At 40.2% G+C, this 27,661-nt stretch overlaps 1 protein-coding gene and 1 long non-coding RNA gene across 2 annotated transcripts in view; one reads left to right on the top strand and one right to left on the bottom strand.

The window, feature by feature from the left end:
- Nucleotides 1-27,661, bottom strand: part of SORCS3 (sortilin related VPS10 domain containing receptor 3) — a 623,953-nt gene that overhangs the window by 584,493 nt on the left and 11,799 nt on the right. The gene's annotated exons all lie outside the window — the stretch shown is intronic.
- On the top strand, nt 14,534-16,142 carry SORCS3-AS1 (SORCS3 antisense RNA 1). The gene is made up of 2 exons (NR_104028.1): nt 14,534-15,301; nt 15,617-16,142. It is a non-coding gene; the product is annotated as an SORCS3 antisense RNA 1 (long non-coding RNA).

Raw genomic sequence — 27,661 nt, 5'->3', positions numbered from 1 at the left:
GGGCCAAGGCCTCGGCACAAATAATAATAACGCGTGTCAGCATTTTGGCACTTCGAGTGTGCCAGACACTGGTCTGTGCCCCTCACGTGCAGTTACTAGTTTAGCCCTCACAACAATCCTATACAGTAGGTTCTATGAATTATCCCCATTTTACAGATAAGGAAACTAAGGCATGGGGAGGTCAAATGACTCACCCACGGTTATGCAGTTGGGAAGTGGCAGCGCTGGGATTTGAACCCATGCAGCCTGACTTCAGAGTCCACACGGGGGACAGCCTCTCCAGGGAAAGAGGAGAAGGTCGGTGGCCTGCTTCTGGCACACGCCTAGAGATGAGACTCACTAGGTTGAGAAAAGATGCACTGAAGGCAGGACTAATAAAGTATTAAGTCCTGATGGGGACCACCACCTCTACAACACCACATCTACCACCCCAGGCAGCTGCTCACTGCCCCCGTGTGAATGCTGTTTTATGTGCTTGCTTGTATTTACTATGCAACTCTGGCATGGCTGATTCATGCAGCTGCCTCATCTAGGACTCAACAGTGAGCTCCTTGGGGTCCCTGTTCTAGTCTATTTGTATCCCTCTGAGAGGCACTAGGAAGGCTCATGGTAGCAATCAGTAAATGTGTGCTGAGTGAATTAATGAATAAATGTGTGAATGAATGAATGAATCCAGCCGGTCCAGATGTTTTAGAGGTCTCCTTTACATACTTTAGGACAGAACACTGCAGCACCCAGGTCAAGGTTTCCTATCGGCCTCCCATGCAGTCTCACAGCAGGACTGAAATAGATAACAATATATGCTCTCTCTTTTTTTCGTTTTATTGCATTTAATCCCATGTTTCAGTTTAATTAAAAAAACACAATAGCTTAAAGTGTTGGATCTTGATACACTGTGCTTTTCATGAATATTTATCACTGTGGGCTATATAAAATTGAATAATTATTAGCAATTAAAAGAAGGTCAACAGAAGGCTCTCTGAAACCCTCCACCAAGGCAGAAGGAAAGAAATGGAATGTTGCAATCAAGAGCCCTCGGCAAGGACTCTGCAGGAAAGAGAAGAAGGTCTTGACTGACAAGGCAAAATCCAGTACTTAGAAGGCCATCCAAGTCCCTGAAGAAAGTTCCAGAACAGTTTGAGGCAGGGATATTCTACCCAAGAGTCATTTATTTCGATGAAGAAAAAGTAGATTTGGTGTAAAGGGGATCCAGTTGACAACACAGTATTCCAGGAGAGGATTAAGACAGGAAAAGTGAGCCCTGGACTGGTTACTCTACCTCTGTGAGTATGTTTCCTTCAATACTAACCTCCCAGTGTTATGAGACAAGTAACTCTATGTAAAGAAAGCATCTGGTAATATTCCTGATTCATAGTAACTGGTGGGTCCCTTCATTTCTCTTTCAAGGTAGACAACGTTCTCAGCAGCCCTAAGTGGTCTACCTGGGCCACTACAACAGCTTTTACTTCCCTCCCCACAAGAAAGAGACCCCAGTTCTCATCTTATTTAATTTCTACTTTATAAGAAATTCTGAAGGTAGATTCCAAAATCTTGCACACACATTAACCACTCAGCAGGTACCCAAACAGATCCCAGGACTCTGCCAACCACTTCTCTCCATGGCATAGTTCCTCTTTATGGTGCAAGAAACTCTACCTCCTTGCAACTTCTCATCCGCATTCTAACTTTTGTCCTCTGAGGCCACAGAGAACAATTCTTATCCTTCTTCTGTATAAAAGCCCTTCAAATGTTTAGAACTTTCATTCCCAAAGTCTTCTCTCCTCCAGAGTAAATGAACCTATATTTGTAATGGTTTATTTTACAATAGGGTGCCAGTATCCTTCCCTGTCCTGCTTTCCCTCAGTGAATGATTCTCTTGTTTGGCTTGGGCTCCAAGAGCTGAACATAACACTGGGAGGGGAGGAAACAGAGCAGGGCTTTGTGATGGGCATGTTCCTATTATTTCTTTAAACCTCCATAGTATCAACTTTGAGGGATACCACAGATGTTGCTGACTCATTTTGAAAATATCATTCAATTATTGCAACAATATATTTTGAGCATATCATACTCTACTGGCTAGGAAATACTGGGACAGATGTGGTCCCTGCCCTCAGGAGGCTAACAGTAGGGGCAGCAAGTCCTGAGCACATGCCCTATTAGGTTAGGCCAAGAAGAATCATCAAAGAGGCAGGTAAAACATTTACAAACATGTGGACACATCCAGTCTAACTCACTTTCCAGCACTGGCCAGTGTCTTTTATCCTAAATGAAAGAAACTCTGAACCTAGGGATTTGGTTACCAGACTCAGATGGTTTTTAATCTTTACTTCTGTTTCATCAATAATAGTCATATTCACTAATATTGACAGAACACTTACTATGTGCCAGGGATGTGTACGTGCTTACACATAGGAACGCACTTAACAGCTGCTTTCTCAGCTCTGAACTCTCTATAAGTCACTTGTGTGAACTGGGTCTAGTTCACCCAACCAGTCTATCCCAAATAACGAGAACCTCCTTGATCAAATAGGGCTTTTTATTACTAAAGCCTAAAGATGTCTTCCATGTGTATTCTTAAAGTACACTCCCTTTATTGTTGCTTCAATGGGTCTATGCCCAGGTAAGAAATTTAACTTCGGCAACCTCACAATTGTTTAATTGTTTGAAGGCCAGACCATGCACACATGTGTCTAACATTGACATGGATTATGTCATTACTAGAATGCAAGCTCCTGGGAAGTGGGTGTGCCTCCTGCTTTAAACAAATGTCTGGTCATCATCCTTCATACTTTAAAACACTGCAAAAGGGAGGAAACAAATATTTTAAATGTAATAATGAGATTGGTCCTCTTTGCTAAGCATATGCAGTCAGTCTCTCTCTCTCTCTCTTCACCCCCTATGTTTCCAGGAATGAAGATGGATGATCTTGATTTATCCACACTTTCTCCAGAAAGTCACACTGAGAAACAACTGGCTACTGGGGTGGGATATAGGTGGGATATAGGGATATCTTACAGAACAACAGGATAATGGCAGATAATGGCCTCATTCCTGCCACATTTCGTCCTCTGAGCCAACTGCTCTGATAGCAAGCCCTGGGGACCAAAGGGTGTTTAATGTTTCAATAATGAAGATGATGGTTCAGGAGGCCTCAGGCAACTTCTCAGCCCAAACCTCAGCCTCTTCTTCAGCAACGTTTTCTGCCACACAACAAATGCACCAGGTTCCTGGGCAGGCTGCGACAGGCTGGCTAATGTTAGAGGAACATCCCGAATACATTAAAACACTGCAAAACACATTTGCATTCAACCTCTCTTTATTCTGTTTCTTCTTCAGTCCTTTTTTAAGGTTGTGTTATATTGTTTTCACTTTAAATGGAACCATCCTAATTCAGACAAGGCTAGAAAACCAAATAATAGCCTCAGGATAGACTTTGCAAAAGAGAAAGCAAACCGACAGGGGAGCTGGCCCAGCTGCCAAAAGCTCAGGCAACAGGGGAGCAGCCTCTCTCCCAAACATGCCCAGATTGGGGTTGAAATGGAGTCCACAGCCACAGGAGATAAATGTGACTGTCACCACAAAAGGTTGGACTTCTCAGGGGTAGTTACAGCCTTCACTACAGCCTGAACCTTGCTCAACCCGCTTATTCTGTGTGTCCCAGTGACCACTGGATAACCATGATTTGCAGAGTGCTGACAATGACACCAAAGACATGACCATTAATCTCATGCCCCAGCCATTGTGATCTGAGTGACCAGGGTGAACTGGCATTATGTAATGGGTATCTCAAAAGCTGAATTAAAATAAGAGATGTCTCAGAACACAAGAACCTCATATGATCTGGATGGAAGTGGAGAGAAGGCACACACTACCATTCGACCACTGGAGACAGAATGAAATCAAGTTAAAATTCAAGATCAAGGCCAAGACCTAGAAATCACATGACTGAGAAAGAAACAGAAAAAAAAAGAGATGGAAGAGACAGAAAAAAGACACAATGCCCTAGGCTTACAGGAGGATTTGGGAGTAACTGTTCTCTTCCTTACAAATCTTCCCCTTTGTTTACTCTTCCTCTGAGTGCAGTAGAAAGAATAAGCTCTGATTCTCAGAAGATCTGGGTTCTCCTCCAGCCTCCAGTCCTCACTAGCCCTATGTCCTATCACAAGTTAACTTGGCTCTCAGAGCACCTGGAACATAGGAGGCACCCCAAAAATTCTTTTATTCTCCTATTTTACATACTCCTTTACCTCATTTTCTCTCTTGCTTCTCTTGTTCTTACCCATGTTATCATCATTATTCCTTCTACATATTAGCTTTTCCTTTTTTCCATACAATTAGATGATGTCAACAAAAGTTAGACTTGAAAAAGAGGCTTTTATCCATAACCTAGTAAAAAGCATCCATAACCACCTATAGCAAACATGATGATTCATAGGGAAATATTGAATGTTTTTCCCCTGAACTCAGGAACAAGAGAATTATGTCTACCACCACTTCTATTCAACACTGTGGGTAGGTCATAACCTGTTCAATAAGGCAAGAAAATGAAATAAAAGGTATAAATAAAAGATATGAAGACACAAAACACCTTTGTTCACAGATGACATAATGAAAATCCAATTTAAAGATTATACTAGGAACAAAAATTAGAAAATGAAAAATTTTAAATTCCCACTTAAGGTATCACAAAGCATCAGATCCCTGGGAATAAATCTACTGAAAGATGTGCAAGACCTTTCAACTGAAAAGTATGAAACACTGCTGAGAGAAATTAAGGAAAATTTAAAAAGGTTCCTCTTCCCCAAGCTTACTGACTGATATAATCCTACCCTAAAATCCTAGCAGGATTTTTTTGTGGAAATTGGCAAGTGATTCTAAAATGTTTATGAAAACACAAACAGTCCAAAACAGCCAAGACAATTATGAAGGAAAAAAAGATAAGATTGGCAAACTTAGATTACCAAATAATAAGATTGATTATAAAGCTACAGTATTGACACAGTGTGATGTTGGTATTAGGATAGGAAAATAGAGCAATGGAACCAAATAGAAAGTTCACAAATGGACACACAAGTAAGACGCCTGATTTGCAACAAAGACATCTTTCCAGTAAATGGTGCTGGGCCATCTGGAGTTCTATATGAGAAAAGAAAATGAAATTGGCCCCCTTCGTCACATCAGACACTCAACACATAAAACAAATTCTGGAAGAATCACGAGCCTAAATGTGAACATTAAAACAATAAAACTTCTAGAATAAAACATAGGAGACTATCTCCCTGACCTTGGAATAGACAAAGATTTTATAACCTTAAAAGAAAAAAACACTCAATTGTATTTCATTAAAATTAAGAACAGACTGTAAGAAGATATCTACAATAAATATATCTGACAAAGAAGTCAAGTCCAGAAAATAAGGAACTTACAAATCTAACTTAAAAATAGACAATGCAATATAAAATGGACAAAATACTTGAACAGGCATTTTACTAAAGAATATATCCAAATGGCCATTAGGCATATGAAAAATGCTCAACATCTCAGTAATTGAATTAAAAACCACAATGGGATTTATCACCATACCCAACAGAATGACTAAAATGAAAAACGTTAAAAAAAATTAGGCATTGGCAAGGAAGTGAAATGATTAGAAATCTCATCCATTGCTGGAGGGAGTAGAATCGGTACAACCACTCTGGAAAATTACTTGGTGGTATCTACTAAAATCTACTTTATGACCCAGCTAGTCTACCCTTGGGTATATATGCCAAAGAAATGAGTACAGATGTCCAAAAAATGTACAGGAATGTTCATATAGCCAAAAATTGGAAACAAGTCAGATGTCCATGAATTACAGAATAGATAGATAATTTGGATATATTCCTATACTATGGAGAAATAAAAAGAACAAACTAAAGTTATATATATCCACAGGGTTAAATCTCACAGACATAATGTTAATTGAAAAAAACCCTTAACAAAAAAGAGAATACAAGGATTATACATATTAGCTATCTATTGCTGTGTAACAAATTATTCCAAAACTGAACAGTTTAAAACAACAGATATTTATTGTCTCACAATTTTTGTGGGTCAGGAATGCAGGTACATCTTACCTGGGTCTTCCAGCTCACAATTTTTCACAAGGCATTACGAAAGATGTCAGCCAGGCTACCGTAATCTCAAGGCTCAACTGAGGGAAGATTTGCTTCCCTCACTCACTATGGATATAGGGCCAAGGGCCTTAATTCTTCATTGGTTGTTGCCAATAAGGCAGCTAAAAACACAAAGGCTTTTCATCAGAGCAAATGAGGAGAGCCAGAGACCACAAAATCAAAATGAAAGCCAAAGTCTTTTGTAACCTAATCTCAGAAGTGATACCCCATCATTTTTGCCAAATACTATTCACTACAAGCAAGTTACTGAGTCCAGTCCACACCCCAGGGGAGGAGTCTGTACAAGGATAGGAATATTAGAAGGCAAAGGCTGTTAGAACCACATTAGAGCTGCATATAGTGGCCATCTACCATGCTATCTTATTCCATTTATATGATTTTCAAGAACAGACAAAACTTAATAGAAGAAAGAACATTGATTATTCCCAGGGGGAGAGACTTCTGGTCTACAGCAAACATAAAGGAGCTTTCTGCGGTGCTATAAATTGTTCTATGTCTTGATCTTGTTTGGGTGGTGAGTAACATCAGCGTAATCAGGTGTTGAAACTTCATTGAAATGGACACCGAAAATGTATGCTAGCTAGCTAATGTATTTCAAAGAATTATTAATTTACATTTTTGGGCACATGATGTATAAAGATGTAATTATGGCATCACCAACCAAAAGGGGTGAAGATAGAGCTGCTAAAGGAGGAGAGTTTTTTATGTTATTGAAGTTAGGCTGGTATAAATTTAAGTTAGTTGTTATAACTTTAAGATGTTAAATATAATCCCTATGGTAACCACAAAGAAAATAGCTATAGAATATATACAAAAGGAGACTGGGTGCAGTGGCTCATGCCTGTAGTCTCAACACTATAGGAGGCCAAGGCAGGAGGACTGCTTGAGCCCAGGAATTTGAGATCAGCCTGGGCAACATAGCAAGACCCTGTCTCTACCAAAAAAAAATTTAAAAATTAGCTGGGCATGGTGGCATGCACCTAGGAGGTTGAGGCAGGAGGATCACTTGTCCCCAGGAATTCAAGGCTGCAGTGAGCTATGATCACACCACTGCACTCCAGCCTGGGCAACAGAGTGAGACTCTGCCTCAAAAACAAATGAACAAACAACAACATCAAAAAATACACACACACACACACACACACACACACGGAAATAAGAAATAAACTTACATTTTTTTACTACAAAAAATATCAACTAAACACACACAAAAGAAAATAGTAATGCAGGAAATGGGGGGCAAAAAAGCTGTAAGGCATATATAGAAAACAAATATCAACATGTCAGAAGTAAGTACCTCCTTATCAGTAATTAACTATAAATGTAAATGGAATAAATTCTCCAATCAAAAGCAGAGATTGGAAGAATGGATTGTTAAAACATGATCCAATTATATGCTGTCTATAAGAGACTCAGTTTAGATCCAAACATGCAAACACACTGGAAGTCAAAAGATGAGAAAAAAATTCCATGCAAACATTAACCAAAAGCGAACAAAGGTGACTATACTAATATCTAACAAAATCGACTTTAAATCAAAAAAAGTTGCAAACAAGAGACAAAGAAGGACAATATACATTAATAAAAGGTTCAGAACAGCAGGAAAATGCAACAGTTATGAATACTTAATGACAGACCATGAAAATATATCAAGTAAAAGCATTACAAAATTGAAGGGAGAAATAGCTTCATAATAACAGTTGAAGATTTTAATACCTTACCCTCAAAAAATGGATAAAACAACTAGACCAAATATAAGGAAATGAAAGAATTAATACAATAATCCACTTAGATATAAACATATACAGAACATTCTATTCAGCAGCAATGAAAATTAAACAACACACTCTTAAACAAACAATGCAGCAAAGAAAACATCAAAACAGAAATTAGAAAATACTTAGAGATGAATGAAAACAAAAACACAAAATATCAAATCTTATGGGATGCAGCAAAAGCAGTCCTAAGGGGGAAATTTAGAGCTATAAACACTTACAATTAAAAAACAGGAAAGATCTCAAATCAATAACCTAACTTAAGAATCTAGAAAAAGAAGAAAACTAAACCCAAAGCTAGCAGACAGGAAAAATAAAGGTCAGAACAGCGATCAGAGAACAGAAAAACACTAGAGAAAATCAACGAAACCAAAAGTTGGTTATTTGAAAAGATCAATGAGATTGACAAATATTTACCTCACTAGACTAAGAAAAAAAGAGAGAAGACTCAAATCACTAAAATAAAAAATGAAACTGGAAACATTACTATTGATTCTACAGAAACAAAAAGGACTATAAATGAGTACTATGAACAATTGTATGCCAACAAATTGGAAAACTTAGATAAAATGGACAAATTCCTAGAAACACAAAACCTACCAACACTAAATGATGAAGAAGTAGATAATCAGAATAGACCTATAACAGTAAGGAAATTAAGTAGCCGAAAATCTTCCAAAAAATAAAAACCCTGGACCTGATGGTTTCACCAGTGAATTCTACCAAATATTTAAAGAACTATCACCAATCCTTCTTAAACTTTTCCAAAAAACTGAAGAGGAGGGGAAGCTCTTTAACTCATTCTATGAAGCCAGCATTAATTACCCTGATACCAAAGCCAGTCAAAGACACTATAAGAAAAGAAAAGTATAGACCAGTATCCCTTATTGACACAGCTGGAAAAATCCTCAACAAAATACTAGTAAACCAAATGTGGCAGCATCTTAGCAGGATTATACGCCATGACAAGTGGTATTTATTCCTGGAAAACAAGGATGGTTCAACTTATGAAAATTGACCAGTATACCACATTAACAGAATGAAACGGAAAAAAACACACGATCACCTTAGTTGATGCAGAAAAAGCATTTGACAAAATCCACCAACCCTTTCATGATAAAAACACTCAACAAACTAGGAATAGAAGGAAACTACCCCAGCCAGGCATGGTGGCTCACACCTGTGATCCCAGCACTTTGAGAGCCTGAGGCAGAAAAAATGAGCCCAGGAGTTCAAGATCCTGGGCAATATAGTAAGACCTCATCTCTACAAAAGAAAAAAAAAAATATTTAAGTTAGCCAAGCATGGTGGCACAAACCTGTAGTCCCAGATACTTGGGAGACTGAGGTAATAGGATTGCTTGAACCTGGAAGGCAGAGGTTGCAATGAGCTGAGATTGTGCCACTGTACTCCAGCCTGGGCAACAGAACAAGACTCTGTCGCAAAAAAAAAAAAAAAAAAAAAAAAAAAGGAAAAGAATGAAACTACCTTAACATAATAGGAGCCATATAAAAAAAAACACACAGTTAACATCATACTCAATCATAAAAGACTGAAAACTTTTCCTCTAGGATCAGGAACAAGTCAAGGAAGCTGGCTTTTACTAATACTGTTCAACACAGTACTGAAAGTTCTAACCAGAGCAATTCGGCAAGAAAAAAAAAAGGCATACGAATTGGAAAGAAAGAAGTAAAATTATCTCTGTTTACAGACGATATGATGTAGTATGTAGAACACTTAAAGTTTAAAAAAAGATTGGAACTAATAAATTCAGCAAAGTAGCAGGATACAGACAATAATCAATTGCATATCGTTACATTAACAAGGAACAATTGGAAAAGAAAATTATGAAAACAATTTCATTTATAATAGCAGTAAAAATAATAAAATACTTAGGAATTATCAAAGGACAGAAAAGAGTTGTCAATGAAAATTATAAAATACTGCTGAAAGAAATTAAAGACATAAATGGACAAACCCCATGTTCATGAACGAGAGACTTAATATTGTCAAAATGTCAATACTATCCAAAGCAATCTACAGATCCAATGCAATCTCTATCAAAATCCCAATGATGTTTTTTGCAGAAATAGAAAGGCCCATCCTAAAATTCATATGGAATCTCAAGGGAGCCTGAATAGCTAAAACGGTCCTGAAAAAGCAAAACAAATCTAGAAGACTTATACTTCCTGAATAAAATCTTACTACAAAGCTACAGTAATCAAAACAGTGTGGCACTAGCAAAAAGACAGATACATAAACCAATAGAATAGAGCCCAGAAATAAACCTTCATATAAATGGTCAAATGATTTTTGAGAAAGGTGCAAAGACAATTCAATGGGGAAAGGACAGTCTTTTCAATAAACGGTGCTGAGAAAACTTGATAGAAAACAATTAAATACCTCACACCGTATATAAAAATTAACTCAAAATGAATAAAAGACCTAAATGTAAGACCTAAAACCATAATGCTCTTAGAAGAAAATTTATGGGAAAAGTTTCACTACATTGGATTTCTTAGATACAACACCAAAGGCATAGCCAACAAAAGAGAAAAATTGGAGTTTGTGAAAATTAAAAAAATTTATATATCAAAAGATGCCATCAGCAGAGTAAAAAGGCAACCTGCAGAACGGAAGAAAATATTTGCAAATCATACATCTGATAAGGGGTTGGTATGCAGAATATATAGAGAACTCCCAAAACTCAACAACAAAACAAGCAACTCAATTTCAAAAATGGGCAAAGGACTTGAATAGACATTTCTCCAAAGGAGATATACAAATGACTAATAAGCACATGAAAAGATGTTCAATATCACTAATCATTAGAGAAATAAAAATAAAAACTACAATGAGCTACTACTTCTTCCATTCAGATGACTACTATAAAAAAAAAAACAGAAAGTGTTGGTGAGGACGTGGAGAAATTGGAAGACTTCTGTTCTATTGGTACAGCTACTATTGAAAACAGTGTGATGGTTCCTCAAAAAACTAAACGTAGAACTACAATATAATATAGCAATTCCACTTATGGGCATTTCCCCAAAAGAAGTGAAAGCAGGATCTCAAAGAGATACTGGTATACCATATACCCATGTTCATAGCAACATTATTCCCAATAGCTGAAATATGAAAGCAACCCAAGTGTTCATCAACAGACGAATGGATAAACAAAACATGGTAAATACATACAATGGAATATTATTCAGCTTTAAAAAGGGAGGACATTCTGACGCATATTACAACATGGATGAACCTTGAGGGCATCATGCTAAGTGAAATATTCCAAAGGCAAATGCTATATGATTCCATTTATTAAGGTAGCTAGAGTAATCAACATCATAGAGACACAAAGTAGAATGATGGTTGTCAGGGCTGGAAGTAGGGTAGAATGGGGAGTAATTATTTGATGGGTATGGAGTTTGTTTTGCAAGATGAAAAGCGTTCTAGAGATGAATGGCGGTGACGCTGGTACAACATTATGAATGTACTTAATGCTACTGAACTATACACTTTAAAATGGTTAAGATGGTAAACTTTTATGTTATGTGTATTTTGCCACAATAAAAATAATAAATGTTTTAAATCTGTGCACTCTAGTACATGTATATTATACATCAATAAACATGCTGAAGGGAAAAAGCATATAGTAGCTACTACCCTTTCCCCTTCTATACTGAAGATTTGGAGGCCCAGAAAGATGAACTGACTTCCTAAAGTCACAGAGCCACTTTTGAGTGGCAGTGCTTGTTCTTAACACTTCTCTCTGCTGAAGTGTATGTGCATATCAACACAGACACATGTCCAGCTGAACTAACTTCCCCGCTGGAAGATAACTCTTTGCTCTCAGAGGGAGGGGACTGCACCTGTTTAATTTGCTTTAACAGTCCTAATGTCAGAATCGCACTTGGGGAAAATATCTCTAATATCTGATAAGGCTCTCGGGAATTAGTTCCAACTAAGAGTTATTCTTCCTAGACTCCCTTCACCTATGGTGCCTGTAAATGGTGAACAATTAAAATGCCAATTATTCTGACCCTTCTAATTCAAACTTGAAAAAGTCTAGATATGATCTGTGCTATAGTTCAAGTTTTATTCTGAGTTCAAAAAGTATTTGCATAATTTTGGGGGAAAATATGCAAATGGTACATTTGACCCACTTAATCACAGTTAATTTTGATGAGACAGACATCATGGTAAGACAATACAAGTGTATCTCACTGAATCTGAATATCAACATTATGAAGTAGGTACAAATATATATTCATGCCTATTTTGTATATGAAGACATTTAAATGTAGGGAATACAGGTAACTTGCCCAAGACCATATAGCTAGTAAGAGGCTAAACCAGGATCAAACTCTTGTCTCTCTCACTCCAAACCCTGTGGTCTTAATTAATTCACTATTCACTCCCCATGTAACACTTAACAAAGAAAAAGAGGAAAAAAAGGCACTTAGTAGTTCTACATGTGCCCGTCATAAATGGTTCTGATAGAATCCATAAAGCAGGTCCAGAAGGGCCCCCTTAGAAGTCAGATCAAGTTACTGTAGGCCCTGGAAAGAACAAGGTTGGATAGTAAAGGCACTTAATATGGTTTACTATTGCGCGTGCACACACATGCGCGCACACACACACACACAGCTGTTGCAATAAAGTCTAATTGCAGACCTCCAACCAGCAAGGTGCTCATCTGAGTTGGGCAGCCCAGACACTGGAGACCAAATTGAGACCAACCTGCCCACTTTAAATCCTAGGAGTGCCACGAAGGCGCCTTGAACTCAAGTGGCAAACACTCCTGAAACTCAGATGAATCAAGGAAAGCTCAGCAAGGTGACACAAATGGAAAGTATGAGGCCTCCTTACATCCATCTATTGCCACATGGGGCACCAGCACAGCAGCTCCCAGAGGAGGTCCATGGCAAAGCACCCCCAGCTCTTAGAACCCTGTGAAGCACTAAGCTGACACCATCCTACAGACTTGGACCAGTTGTATTAAGAGAAAAGGTGGCCAGATCACATGAATACAACTTGAAATCACAATCATAATGAACCTATGCAAACAACGACAAACAAGCTGTAGAACAACACAGGATTGGCCATTTACTCTGGGGTTTTGTTCCCTTTTAATGCTCACTTGTTACTTGTTCATTCATTTATCAGCCAGCGTTTGTTAAGAAAAGTCTACTAGACAATATTTTTTAACTGTGAAAAATGTAGTCATTTTTTTTCTTTAAAAAGGGACATTGCTCATTTATTTCTGTAGCAGACCATAGAAGCAGTCCTAGATCAGGCTAGAGCCTGATCCTTGGGTAAACCAAGATATAAAACAGGGGAACAGTTTTCTCTCTCTTGAGGAGTTTATAGTCTAGAGAAAGAGAAGATCAGAGATCAGTAGGAAGAAACAGGATCAAGAGAGGAGGGCAGGCAGGAAGATCTCAGGAGAAGGGAGAAGACAAATGGAGAAGCAAAAAGATGGGGCATAGGCAGAGAAAAGCAGCTGAGGAGAAGGGTATTGGTTGTGGGGCCCAGCACGTGAGCTCGGGAAAGTCAGTACATATGTGAGCACAGTGCCTTGCACGTCTAAGTCCATACCAACTAGGTTCAGAGCCTTGTCCCAAATTTAATAACATACAAACATAAGTAGTTCCTATGCACACTCCAGTATCTCCTCACTGAAAGCATCATGTCTGTTCTCTTCATGACACCTACCACAATTTTAACTATGTATATGTTATTAACTTGATAATTGTCTCCAACATATTCTCTCTCTTCTCTCTCCTCTCTCTCTCTCTCTCCCAACACTAAGCTGCATGAGAACACAGTTTACATCTTATGCCCCTAATAATTTTCAGCTCTGCCATTTTCTAGCCGTGTTACCTTAGGCAGGTTATTTAACCTCTCTGATCCAATAGTCCAAAGAGACTTTGTGAGGATGAAATAAGAAATGCATATAAAATACAGGATAGACCAGCCTGAGAAACACAGTGAGACCCCATCTCTATAAAAAATAAAAAAAAATAGTTGGGTATGGAGGCATGCACCTATAGTCCCAGCTACTTGGGAAACTGAGGCAGGAGGATCACTTGACCCCAGGAGTTTGAGGTTACAGTGAGCTATGATCACATCACTGCACTCCAGTCTGGGCAACAGAGCAAGACCCTGTCTCTAAAATAAAACAAAATACAGCATAGCTCTCATTAAAATTATTCCATTTCCCTGAAGAAATACTGCACAGGAACAAAAGGTCCCAGGTCTACATTCCACAAAAGCTCTTCCTCCTTATGCTAGATAAGGTTTATTCCTGTGGCTCATGGTTAGATTCTCCATTCAAGGATCCGGACAGAAAAATCCTATTTCTGTGACTGCGTCCTATTTTATTGGCATTTCATCCCTCCAGGCAGTTTCAATCCTCTCCCCTTTCCTCTTCTCCTCCTCCTGCCTGATGCTATGATGCCACAATCCAGTCTCTGTGACTCGGAGGAAATGTTTCCATGGTGATGAGCAGTGATGTCATAAAGGGGGGATTGTTACAGGGTTGAATAAAATCTGGCACTAGATGCACCCTGCCTCCTTATATAAGAGGGGGCGGGAGACAAGCCCTATCAGCACATCCCAGAAAATGGGAAACCGAATCACCCAGGGGATGGCAAGGAATGACCAGAGGGAAAGTTCCAGTTCTGTCCAACATGCACTACCAGCCCCATTTTGGAAAAGAACAGATTTAATAGACCTCACCAAGACAAGAATTGTTTTTCGTCAAAGGAAATCAAAGGAACAAACAAGAGGCAGTGACCACCAGAGACTTCACCTTTTGGTGTAGGAAAACCCAAGCAGACAGTGTCTACATCCATCAAAGCCCAATGTATTAAATATTTATTGAATAAGAACCCACGGACTCTTCCTTACCAGAGCCTTAGATTGCCATGTGCGTCTGATTGCTCCAAAGACAAGACTATTGTGATTTTGGCCCCATATGCATTTTAGAGTAACAAGTCTTACCAGAAAAATAATAGCCAGCCCCAGCTTAATTCCTAGAGAAACTCAAACCACCTTGTTAAGAACAATCCCAGAGGAGAGTTTATACTAAGGAGCACTACACAATGCTGTTTGCCATCTCTGGGCCCTCTAAAAGCAAGCCCAACCTTGGAAAAGGAATGTCTGCCACCAGGGAAACGTGGCTGCACTGCTGGAGGAAGAACTTGATCATGACGGGCAATGCTTGGAAGTAAAGAAGCATCTGCTGCCTTGGAAAGGCTTGGTCAGGGCAATCATTGTCACAGGCCATGTTTTTTCTCTGACTATCTCTTGGAATTTCAGAGTGACTAAGTGATTACTACAATTGTGAGTGCCGTGGAATAGACCCTGTTCCATAAAAGGTCTCCCTTGGTCCTACAGGAGGCTCTGGGAGCCCGTGCTTTAGCGAATGTATAGTCCCTCATTCTTTCTCTGGGCAGCTGGTTTTCCTGAAGGTTCTGCTCCCAGCAAGCACAGTCCACAGCAGTAGCTAAATGTGTGCAGTGCATGTGTACTTTTATGGTCTTCATCATTATTTATGAACTAACTTCAAAGGGAAGTCATTTCCATCCGGGAATCCTGGCATATGCTTTTTCATACTGATACATGCATAGAGATAACTGTGCTTTCTTATTATTCCAGAGAGCAAGAGGCGGTGTCTTCCAGAAGTCGGTGTGGGCAGCACCAAACCATCCACCATGCATCAGAGAAAAGCCAGACAGCTGGAAGGCTCTATTCCCAGGCCACTCTCCAGTCCTCAAACATGTCACCATCTCTCATGCCTCCTTACTGGGCCCATGCTGTCTCCTTGACCAGGAATGTCCTCCACCCCGATCCCATCCCCATAGCCCCCTTCACTGTAAGATCTGGGCCCAGCAAATTGCCCAGCTCCTCTTCTCTGAATGCTTCTTTAATGTCTCTGAGAAGGAGTTCCTTCCTCCTTTACTGTCCATCTCTTCCACCACATGAGGGGTTTGGGGGAGGTCTTTGAAGACAAGGGACCCTTCCTCATTCATATTTGAATACTGAGCCCAAGCACACGCCCCTAGCATCTGCAATACACACATGTCAAGGTGAATGGGGAGATAGATGCCAAGATCCTTGAGCGCTGCAAATCTTCACTGCCAACTTCAACTACTCCAAAATAAAGTCAAAATTTTAAAAGTAAGCTTTGATGACTCAAGTGACTAATTTTATGGACAAGGGCCCCTTAATGAAATCTAAGAGGAGGAATGTGGTGACATAAGCAGGACATGGCTGTGAGACACTGAGCAAACAGTTTATCCTCCCTGAGCTTCGATTTTCTCATCTGTAAAAACGAAGAATGGTGGCAATTTGAGCTCAAAGTCCATCTCTAACATTCTAACTCAGTGAAGCAGCCTGTGGCATTTTCACATCCTTAAACGGAAATGTGTTACACGTCAAGGATGATTCCTCAAGGCATTTTGCTGCCCTCCTGGGTTGATATTTTTCCTTTCATTTTCACCTTAAGCCCCGCTCCTGTTTATTGCTCACAATGCACTCCAGACTGGGGATGGCTGACAATTCCCCCATGAAGGACACACTGTAAAGACAGATGGAACTGCTGCCTAGTCAAGCTGCACTTAATGCAACGTCACCCCAAGACAGCCTGCACCTTCTTCCCCAATGCATCTGAGCCTACCCTTAGCCAGCCCTCACCCTCGCCTCCCCCAGCAACCAGCAAAGCTCTTCCCAAGTCATGCCTGAGCCCAGATAATTTCATTATTTTACAGAGGCATCTCTGTGTGCCCATATATCCTGTCATTCTCCTTGTCCATGACAAATGCTTGGCATAAAAGTTACCTTTGGAAATGTGTTAAGGCAGGCAGCATGCACATTCAGAGAGGCCGGGGTGGGGAAGGCGAGAAGGATGGGGGATGATAGAGATCTTCTTCTTTACTGTGCACCAGAAAAATAAAAGAAGAAAGAGGAGTGGGGGGCTGCCAGTGTGAAGGAAAAAGCTCCTGGTTCATTCAGCAGCAGCATGCATGTGTTCAAAGTCTGTCCTAGTTGCTCAGCAACCTAGAAAAAGCATTTCAGAGAGCAAGAGGCTAATTGGATAAATGAATTAATTAAACATTTCTGAAGTCATTGCCGTAAATGACAACAGGCTTGTGTGGCCAGTATTTTGCTAGTGAAAATGTCTCCCATCCCTACCTAAGCTTTGATCCAGAAAATGTGGGGAGCTGGGGAGCGAGGGAGCCACCACATAACAACATATCAGAGATGCCATGCGGAGAGAGGAAAGCAATGGAGGAAGCCCTGCCTTGGAGGAGAAGTTGAACTAAATGGCCTTCGAAGTCTCTTTCAACTTTTAATATTTGATCAGTTTTGCACTGCAGGGTAGGGAGTACAAGAAAAGGAGTAAATCCCCCCTCTGCCAGCCTGAAGGCAACTTAATAACCTGCTTTCCCACACCATCCTATGGGGTTTCCCTCTGCTGTACTTAAAGCAAGCAAGTGCCCATGAAAGGCGATAGACAGCAGTTGTTACGGAGTTTGTGTGGTGTTGGTGGTTGCTTTTTTCCCTTGCTCTGCCTTGCTTCTCCCTGTTGGCTTCCTTTAATTACAACAGAACCCCACTGGCTGCTGTAATGATGGAGAGGACTCCACTGTGCCAGGAGGGAGCGGGCAAGAGGTGGGAAGGGAACAGGCAGAGTGAAAGGAAGGCAGCCGGCAGCTCCCAGAGCTGGAAGGAGAGACGGCAGTGTGGGCTTCTGCTGCTCCTTCCACTAACAAGTTGCTGACTGACTCCAGGCAAAAACTCAGCCTCTCTGAGCCTTTCTTTTTCCTCCCATGAAGTAGGGAGAATGGATTTTGTGGTGTTTTGAGGACAATTGATGCCACTGCTAATTACATGTTTCCCTTGTTTAAAATTACTAAGAGTTCCCAGTGCCTATAAAAATAACATGCAAGTTTGCCAGTGGGCTATGCAATGCCTGTGTGATCTGGACCCATCTCTTCCTGACTCTCCTAGTTCCGAAAAACACCCTATTACTTCTCACCTCCAAGCCTTTACTCATCTTGCTCTTTGCCTGGAAACACCAGAGCTTAAGTACAAATATTCAATGAAGGCTTCTAGAAAAGAACATGCCAGTCTAATTGCAAAAAGGCCCAGGAGCTGAAAACCCATCTTAGCCCTCATGGGGTCAGCAGTTCAACCTTGCATTGCTGAGGCCTTGCTTCCCTGGCTGGTATGAATTGGAGAAGTGGGCTCTGTAACTCATCAAGTAAGGAGCTCTCAAGTCAGATGGTCCACGTGGGACTTGCAGCTCTGTCACTCACCAGCTTTGTGACATGGGTCAGGTATTGAGCCCCACCATGCTTTTATTTACTCATCTTTACAATGTGGCTCATAATAGTAGAAACTTCATCGAGTCACCATGAAGATTAAACAAGATGCTGAATGCAAAAGTTACAGCTCAATGTTTGGCACACAGTAAGAGTATCCTAATTGTGGTCTATTATTTTTGCAAAATTATGTCATTTTAAAATGAAATAAAAGCTGATGTCTTTACCTTCTCCCACCCTTTTGCTCTGATACTCTCAGCCTATCCGCACTCACAAACTCTGTAATATCCTGATTTCAACATCAATAATACAGTAGACTCAACTACCTTACATCTGTATTTTCCTCTATTTCATTACCCACTCTGAAGCTTATTAGCCATGTGAGCTTGATAATCTAACTTCTCTTCATCACAGTTTTCTGTTAAAGAGAGATAGTAATAACCTCCAACTCATAAAGTTATGAGGGAAAAATGAACTGACACAAATAAAGCACCCAAAACTGGCACCCGGCACACAGCAAACCTTCAGTAAGTGCTGGATCCCATCCCCAGATGCTTCACTTTTGATTCCAATATTGATTTGGATTTCCATCCTTCCACCTACACATACTTCTCTTAGATTTTAAGTTCCCAGAAGGCCGAGATCAAGTCTGAACTGTTTCTTGTTCATCATCGATCACAGTACTGAAGTGCAATTAGGAATTTGTTCAAGATATTTTAAAAACTATTTATTGCAGGATGATATGTATCTATCTATCTATCTGTCTATCTATCTATCTATCTATCTATCTATATTCCCAAATCATACTACCTTAAATAACAATGATATTAATAAATATATAGGTAATAACAACTCAACTATGAAGTGTGTTTGATCTCAGCTATGTACAAGCAAGTCTCCTCTTAAAAAGGCTTAGCCAAAACTAAGTCACAATGTCAAGACTGCACTGGACAAGGGCAGCTTGCCTGTTGAGGTATGTCACTGATTGCTAGGATGCCCATGATGGTCAAGGAGCAGATAATTTGGCATTACCATCCCTGCTTCAGGAGAACAAGTTAGGGTGGTGGAGCAAGATACATATCTTTCTCTGGGTGATAGCAGGTATGATTATCTTTATAAATAAATAAATAACATAGCTGTCAAGGGGGAGATGAAAAATACTCCCCTATTTCTTATCCCTGAATATTACAAGACTCGTCCTCATTCCCAACTCCATGGGCCCCTGTTCTGGGAAGAAAGAAGAGAAAATGGTTAGAGACGGAACAGGAGAAGGCAGAAGAGGGGAATAAACTAGAAATCCCCATATTTGCTCAGATGCTGAAGAAGATAATTTAATTGTGTAAAGAACAGAGCAAGAGGAAGTCACTGTTTAAGTGGTTCTTCATTAATAGGCACTGAGTTGTAGCAGTAAAAATGATTCTAATGGCAAATTTTATGTCATATGTATTTTAAATAAATAAATAAAATTTAAAAAGGAAAAAAGGTACAGAGCAAAGCTCTCCCCAATTGCCCCTCCGCTTAAACCAAGAAAAATCCATCATTGTAAGTACTTGACCAACACAGAGAGAAGAGCCAGTCTTTGGCCAGAGCCCATGGCTCTCCTCTCATGGGAGCTTTTTGAGGCTCAGGCATGAGTCAGACAGGAAATAGGCATCTCTGGACCAGAAAGATGTCTGGACTGTCCTACCTCTCCCTGATGCCAGCCCTAAAAATTGGAAAAATTAGGCAAATAGCACAGGCTCTGATTTCAAGAGTCACCATCCCTAAAACGCCTTCCCAAACCATCCCCAACTCATTCACCATTAGGATATCAGATTTGAAATGTGAAGGGCTCAGAAAAAAAAAGTGAAGACACAAAGGACCAGTATTAGACCATTTTCCCTAGGTCAGAAGGAAAGTGGAGGGTGCTGGGTAGAGGGGAGGGTGAGGGCCACAGGAGCTCACTTCCCTGCATCCCTTGCTCTTATTTTATTTCAGGTAAAGGCTGACCCAGCCCCCATACCTGAGAAGGGACTCAGACTCTGGGGTGTTTCCTGTTTTCTTCTGTCCCTAGAAGTTCCTCCACTACCTAAATGTTAACCCATAGGTGGTCATGCTTTACATGCTGTAAGTTCACTAGAAACAATAGGTCCTACCCAGCTCACAGATCGGCAGGATGCACAGATGCAGGATAATAAACTCTCAGTTAAAAAACTGAAACCCACTTTTCAGGAAGCCACCTTGGTAACTTAAAATAAGAAGCAGAGCCACCTAAGACACAGCGATGTGCAGCTATAGATGCAGGAGCTTTGATTTGTCTCATTTTTAGAGTCACCTGCCGTTCTTTCAAGATGCACATCTCCACCCTCCTATCATCCTCAGCTCCTTTAAAGGAAATTTAAATCGGGCTGGAGCTGCTGCTGTGTGAGAAAAAAGAGAAAGGAAGGGCTATTGCTAAGTCCCAGCTCATCCTCTGGCCAGTGCAGGAGTGTCCCCCACTGTGCAGGCATCTCTGCAGGGGCCTTTCACATAGTCCTCCCTCCCCGATCCTGGGGAAGGGAACCAGCAATGTTGGAGGGTGCAGTTTCCTCTCCTCTTAAAAAATACACACCCTCACAGGAGAGTGAAAGAATGGCTGGCAAAAGGCAGACCAACTGTGAGGGAGATCAAGCTAATCTCCAGGACCTCTTATCTAACAATAACCATTTCCTACTCATTTTAGAGTATCTTCTACCACAGGGCAGGCGCCTTGGCAAGCCCTTTAAACTCACTAAATCCTCACAAAGACCAGGCAAAATGGGATTATATCCTGATTTTATAAAGGAGAGAAGTAGGTCTCAGAAAAGTAACTTGCCCAGGTCACAGCTACCTAGTCAGGGGTGGAGCTAAGATTCAAGATCAGGTCCTTCCGATCCAAGCACTACTCTTCCACCTAAAGGAATCCCAAACCTGATATCTCCCCACTAGTCATCTATTTATTTATTCTTCCCAAGGCTACATTCTGGGGGGAAATTCTCTGGACTAAAAACTTAATGGAATACGAATGGGCATCAGAGTGTTACAGAAAGAGCACTGGACTAAAAGTCAGAGAAGTGGACATTGATGTGGGAGTTTCTACTATCTGGATGAATTTGGGCACTATACAATCTCGCTTGCCCACATTTTCTATGTCAGGAAAAAGATGTAGTTAGGTCATTATGTGTTCTTTCCAGCTCTAAATATTGTCTCTGAATTATTTATATTTTAAGAGGACCTTAGAGGGAACAATGTTCAACATGAAAAATGGTCCTCTAATTGTGAAGATTCTGGAAAGGAAAAAATAAAATCAAGCAAAAAAGTCCTCCTTGCTCCCCTTCAAAATCACAACATGAGTATGAGCAACTTCTTCCACAATTTAATACCATGTTGTGATATTTCCTTAAAAATATCTGTACATTTATAGTTTATAATGCCCTTTCAAATACATGATTTCATTTTGATCCTTGCAACTATTAAACAGATGAGGAAACTTGAGTCTCAGATGTTGACCGACTTACACCATTTCATAAAGCTGGCAGATATTCATGTGAAGGCTAGTCCTCCAATTTCAGTTTAGTCACAACCAAAAAAAAAACAAAAACAAAAGCAAAAAACAAAAAACAAAAGACAAAAAAAAAGTGCTTATTTATAACCCTGCACTCCATCCAGAGTCCTATTGCAGCATGAGCCCACTCAGGTAACAATTGTAAGCTATCACCATCATCATCATCATCATCATGCACAATAATCTCATTTGAGCACATAATAGACACTAAGTAATCACTGTTAAGGCAATTAAGAAAGGGGACTTGAGGCCAGGTGCTGTGGCTCACACCTGTAATCCCACCACTTTGGGAGGCCAAGGTGGGTGGATCACCTGAAGTCAGGAGTTCGAGACCACCATGGCCAACATAATGAACTGTTGCCTACACTAAAAATACAAATACAAACTGAGCCAAGTGAGCCAAGATCATGCCATTGCATACTCCAGCCTGAGCAACAAGAGTGAACTCCATCTCAAAATAAAAAAGGAGACTTGTGCTGTTTCATCACACATGCCTAAACACCTACCAATTTCATCTACAGGTAGGACCAGCTCTGCTTAGAAGCATGCAGACATAATACTCATGTGCATACATGTGACCTCTCTGCTATTTTTCTCTCCTCATCTCAGCTCCTGAAAAAAACACATGGATGAGCCCTTTCTCCCCAGACATGATTCTTTCAGCATCCCTCAATCTGCCACTGCAAACCGGTTTGGAAGAAGCATATATTCAGTTAGCATGTGACAACAGTGTTTCATACAATATAATTAACACTGCCCTACCCCATTTCTTTAAAAATTAGTAAGTGCACAAGAAAGAAAACACAAAACAAAACCAGAAGGGAGAAAGGCAATTTTAAAATGAATTCAGCTGCAAAGCTTATGTTCCTGTAGGCATAGTAGATATTAATAATTCAACAAAATATTACAGTAATTACTATACTTTGCAAAATCACAACAGTGCACTTTAGCACAACTCCTACCAATCTCCCTGCAACTTCCATTAACAAATAAAGTACAATTCCCTATATTAAATTTGTTGTTTAAAAGCTAAATATTTTATCGGAACTAATATATTTTAAATAATCAGTCAAAACCAAGAAAATCCCTGGCCCTGTATTTCTCACCCCTTCAAGTGAAATTCTATCTTCACAGTCAGAGCTAAAATTGATTTCAACTCCAACAAGAATACACTAAATGTTAGAGTCTGAAGGCCCCTATTGAGGGAACTGAGGATTACTCAGCTCTCAGGCTCTGCTGGAATCTGATTAGCCTGCCAGAAGGAGAGTGAGAAGGAAAAAGAGTAGACAATTAATTCTTTTGGACTATAAATCTGGCCTACCGCATTCAGCTCCAGAAAAAGAAACCATGAATTGTAAAGAGAGGCAAGGGGCAGGCAACCACGAAAAAAACACTCCTAAGTCCATCCCTGAGCATGTATGTAGCAGGCTAATGATCTCGAAATACAGGTGAGCCTCACTTTATACCGTAATTATGTTCCCACACATTTGCTACATCCAATCTCTCAAGTTCTATTGATTTTACCTGCTGCAAAAACGCTGCAAAATAAACCACCTAAATCTCAATCACTTATTCTCACAACAATCAATCACTTTATTCTCAGAAATATTCAGGGCAGCTTGGGGTTGGCTGATCATAACTGGGCTCAGCTACGTGGTTCTAGCTGGACTGGGCTGGGCTGATCTAGCGTGGGCTTGGCTGGGAATGGCTATGTACTAGTTGTCTCTCATCCTCCTCCTGAGACCAATAGGCTATGTTTTTCTCATGGCCACCCCAAAGGCACAAAAAAACAGGTAGAAACACACATGCTTCTTGATAACTGAGCTTAGAACTGGCACACTATCACTTCCAACTCTCTATTGGCCAAAGCAAGTCACAAGGCCAAACCAAAAGTTAGAAGATGGGGAAGAAGGTCCCATTCAGAGAGAGGGCACTGCAAAGGTCCCATACAAAGGGAGTTATAAAGAGAAGTGAACAATTGGAGCTAATGACACAATCAACTACATCTGCCAAATATTTCTTCAGTGGACTCCTTCTTATCTACCCCCACTACCACCATCCAAGCCATCAACCTCTCCAGCTACATCCTCTTAGCATTCATCCTTTTTTCCCTCTAACCCACAGGGTGATCAGAGTGATTTTTTAATGTACATTTAATTTTATCATTTTATCACTCTCCTACTATAAACCTTTTCATGGCTCACCTCTTTACTTTTTTTCTTTTTCTTTTTGTTTTTTTTTAACAAGGTCTCACTCTGTCATCCAGGTTAGAGTGCAGTGGCATGATCACAGCTCACTGCAGCCTCAACCTCCTGGGCTCAAGTGATCCTCCCACCTCAGCCTCAGCCACCTGAGTAGCTGGGACCACAAGTGCATTCCACCATGCCCAGCTAATTTTGTTTGTGTGTGTATTTTTTGCAGAGACAGAGTTTCTCCATGTTGCCTCTCAAACTCCTGGGCTCAGGGGATCTCCCTTCCTCAGCCTCCCAAAGTGCTAGAATTGCACGCATAAGCCACCAGGCCAGGCCACCCCTTTGCTGTTGGGATAAAGAACTAAACCCTTGCTTAGTCCTGCCCATGCCTGCCTGTCTAGCTTCATCTCATCTCTCACCATCCCCCAGCCCCTCTGCTCCAGCCACACTGTCCTTCCTTTCCCCTTCAAATACCTTGCTCCTCCCTGCCACAGAAGCCATATGCCCAGAACACTATGCCCTCACCTCTGCACCTAATCCACCCTGCACATCTTTGCAATCTCCACTCATCTGCATCTCCCTCTCTGCCCTTCCTAAGTTAAATGTCCCTAGTGTTGTCATGTACCTCTCAATCAGAGCACTGCTCACTATTACAGACTCAGAATCCAGCAGCACCTGGCACATAGAGGGGACTCCACAAATATGTATTGAATATTGATGTGTTAGTCCATTCTCACATTGCTATAAAGAAACATCTAGGACTGTGTATTTTATATTTAATAAAAGAAGTTTAATTGGCTCATGGTTCTGCAGGCTGTACAGGAAACACATTCGCTTCTGCTTCTGGGGAGACCTCAGGAAACTTCCAATCATGGCAGAAGGCAAAGGGGGAGCAGATGTCTTACACGGAAGAAGCAGGAGCAAGGCGGAGTGGGGGCAGGAGGCACTGCACACTTTTAACCAACCAGATCTTATGAGAACTCACTCACTGTCACAAGGACAGTACCAAGAGGATGGTGCTAAACCATTCATGAGAAATCTGTCTCCATGATCCAATCACCTCCCACCAAGCCCCACCTCCAACAATGGGGATTACAATTTAACATGAGATTTGGGCAAGAACACAGTTCCAAACCATATTAATTGGCTATTGCTGTGGTTTTTAAAAATGATTTTAAATTTTTTTAAAGAAAAAGAAACCAAATACCACATGTTCTCACTTACAAGTGGGAGCTAAATGATGAGAACTCATGAACACAAAGGAAGGAACAACAGACAATGCTGGCTATTTTTTCTGCAGGAGCAGAAAAAATAACTATTGAGTACTAGGCTTAAATACCTGCATGACAAAATAATCTGTACAACAAGCCCCCATGAAATGAGTTTACCTACATAACAAACCTTCACATGTACCCCCGAAGCTAAAATTAAATAAATAAAACTACTCCTTTTTTTTTTTTTTTGAGACGGAGCTCTGTTACCCAAGCTGGAGTGCAGTGATGTGATCTCTGCTCACTGCAACCTCCGCCTCCCCGGTTCAAGTGATTCTCCTGCCTCAGCCTCCCAAGTAGCTGGGACTACAGGTGTGTGCCACCACACCTGGCTAATTTTTGAATTTTTACTAGAGACAAGGTTTCACCATGTTGGCCAGGCTGGTCTCAAACTCCCGACCTCAGGTAATCTGTCTGCCTTGGTCTCCCAAACTGCTGGGATTACAGGCATGAGCCAATGCAACCTGCCTAAAACTACTTCTTTTGGTTGAGTTTTACATTGAAGGTATTTGGATAATGAGTGTAAATAGCAAATGGCTCTGCAGAGTGTTTAATCCCCCACCTTATACTACCGATTTTGTGTAAATCCAGTTTTAATGCATCAGGCTTCCTCAAGGGTTGCACATCACTAATTTGAACAAAGTCAGAGGTATCTTATGTTATGTACCTCCTTTTCCCACCTTCATCAGTCCATGAGTAGAAGGGGAGACACATATAATGCCAAATAGCACATGATACAAAAGCATCAAGTAACCTAAGTACTTCCCAAATCCAAGAAAAACTTTTTTGACCCTAGATTTCTATGTCCAGAGGAACCACCAAGCCAATGTGAGAGCAAAACAAAATTTTAGACATGCCAAGAATCTTTTTTAAAAGTGGATCTCCTGATCATCAGAGAAATGCACATCAAAACTACAATAACATATCATCTCACCCCAGTTAAAATGGCTTATATCCAAAAGACAGGCAATAACAAATGCTGGTGAGGACATGGAGAAAAGGGAACCCTTGTACACTGTTGGTGGGAATGTAAATTAGTGCAACTACTATGGAGAACAGTTTGGAGGTTTCTCAAAAAACTAAAAATAGAGGTATCATACAATCCAGCAATCCCGCTGCTGGTTATATACTCAAAAGAAAGGAAATCAATATATCAAAGAGATATCTGCACTCCCATGTTTGCTGCAGCACTATTCACAATAGCCAAGATTTGGAAGCAACCTGACTGTCCATCAACAGATGAATGGATAAAGAAAACGTGGTACATATACACAATGGAGTATTATTCAGCCATAAAAACGAATGAGATTCAGTCATTTGCAAAAACATGGATGGAAGTAGAGGTCATTATGTTAAGTGAAATAAGCCAGGCACCAAAAGACACACATGGCATATTCTCACTTATTTGTGGCGTCTAAAAATGAAAACAACTGAACCCATGCGCATAGAGTAGAAGAATGATTACCAGAGGCAGGAAGGGTAGTGGGGGAGAGGGGGAGGTGGGGATTATTAATGGGTACAAAAAATAAAATGAATGAATAAGGCCAAGTATTTGATAGCACAAAAGGGTGACTAGAGTCAATAATAATTTTAATTGTACATTTTAAAATAACTAAAAGAGTATAATCTGGATTATTTGTAACACAAATGATAACTGCTTGAATGGATAGATATCCCATCTTCCATGATGTGATTATTATGCAATGCATATCTGTACCAAAACATCTCACGTATCGCATAAATATATACGCCTACTATGTACCCACAAACAATTTTTTAAATTAAAAATTTTTAAAGCATTAATATCTCCCAAGCACTGGGTGACCATATGATTCATCATCTAAGCCTGGATCTTTTGAGAGTCAAAATACATCTATTCATATTCTATCAGGACAAGAGGTATAAACCAAGACATTCCCATGCATTCTCTGAAAAAGATTACTTGAGGATATGCCACAGAAAAATGAAAAGCAGCCCACAACAGAGGAATGGGATCCAAAAAACAGAGGCACTAATCCAAGAGTAAAATAAATAGAAATCTCAAGATGACAGAAGGGAAACAGGCCTAGAAAGAAAGAAATCAGTACAAATTAGAATATCTAATAATAATACAACTAAAAAGTTGGAATATCATAGTACTATGGTGAAATAGCATATTCTTTATCTTCCTATAAAGAAAATAAAACAAGTAGAAACACACGGTAAAACAGAGTTCTCTGTAAGCAATTTATACACCACACTGACATGGCAGAATTCTGAACAATTGTCAGAACAACAGGTAATCTATTTGACCTCAAAGCTCAGGACACTCCTTGTCAAGTGACCCAGGTTTGGTGATAGCATCTATTTCT

This window comes from Homo sapiens, chromosome 10 (assembly GCF_000001405.40).
Source record: "Homo sapiens chromosome 10, GRCh38.p14 Primary Assembly".
Lineage (NCBI taxonomy): Eukaryota > Metazoa > Chordata > Mammalia > Primates > Hominidae > Homo > Homo sapiens.
The sequence above is the reverse complement of the archived record's forward strand: the minus strand, read 5'-3'. Positions and strand labels throughout refer to the sequence as shown.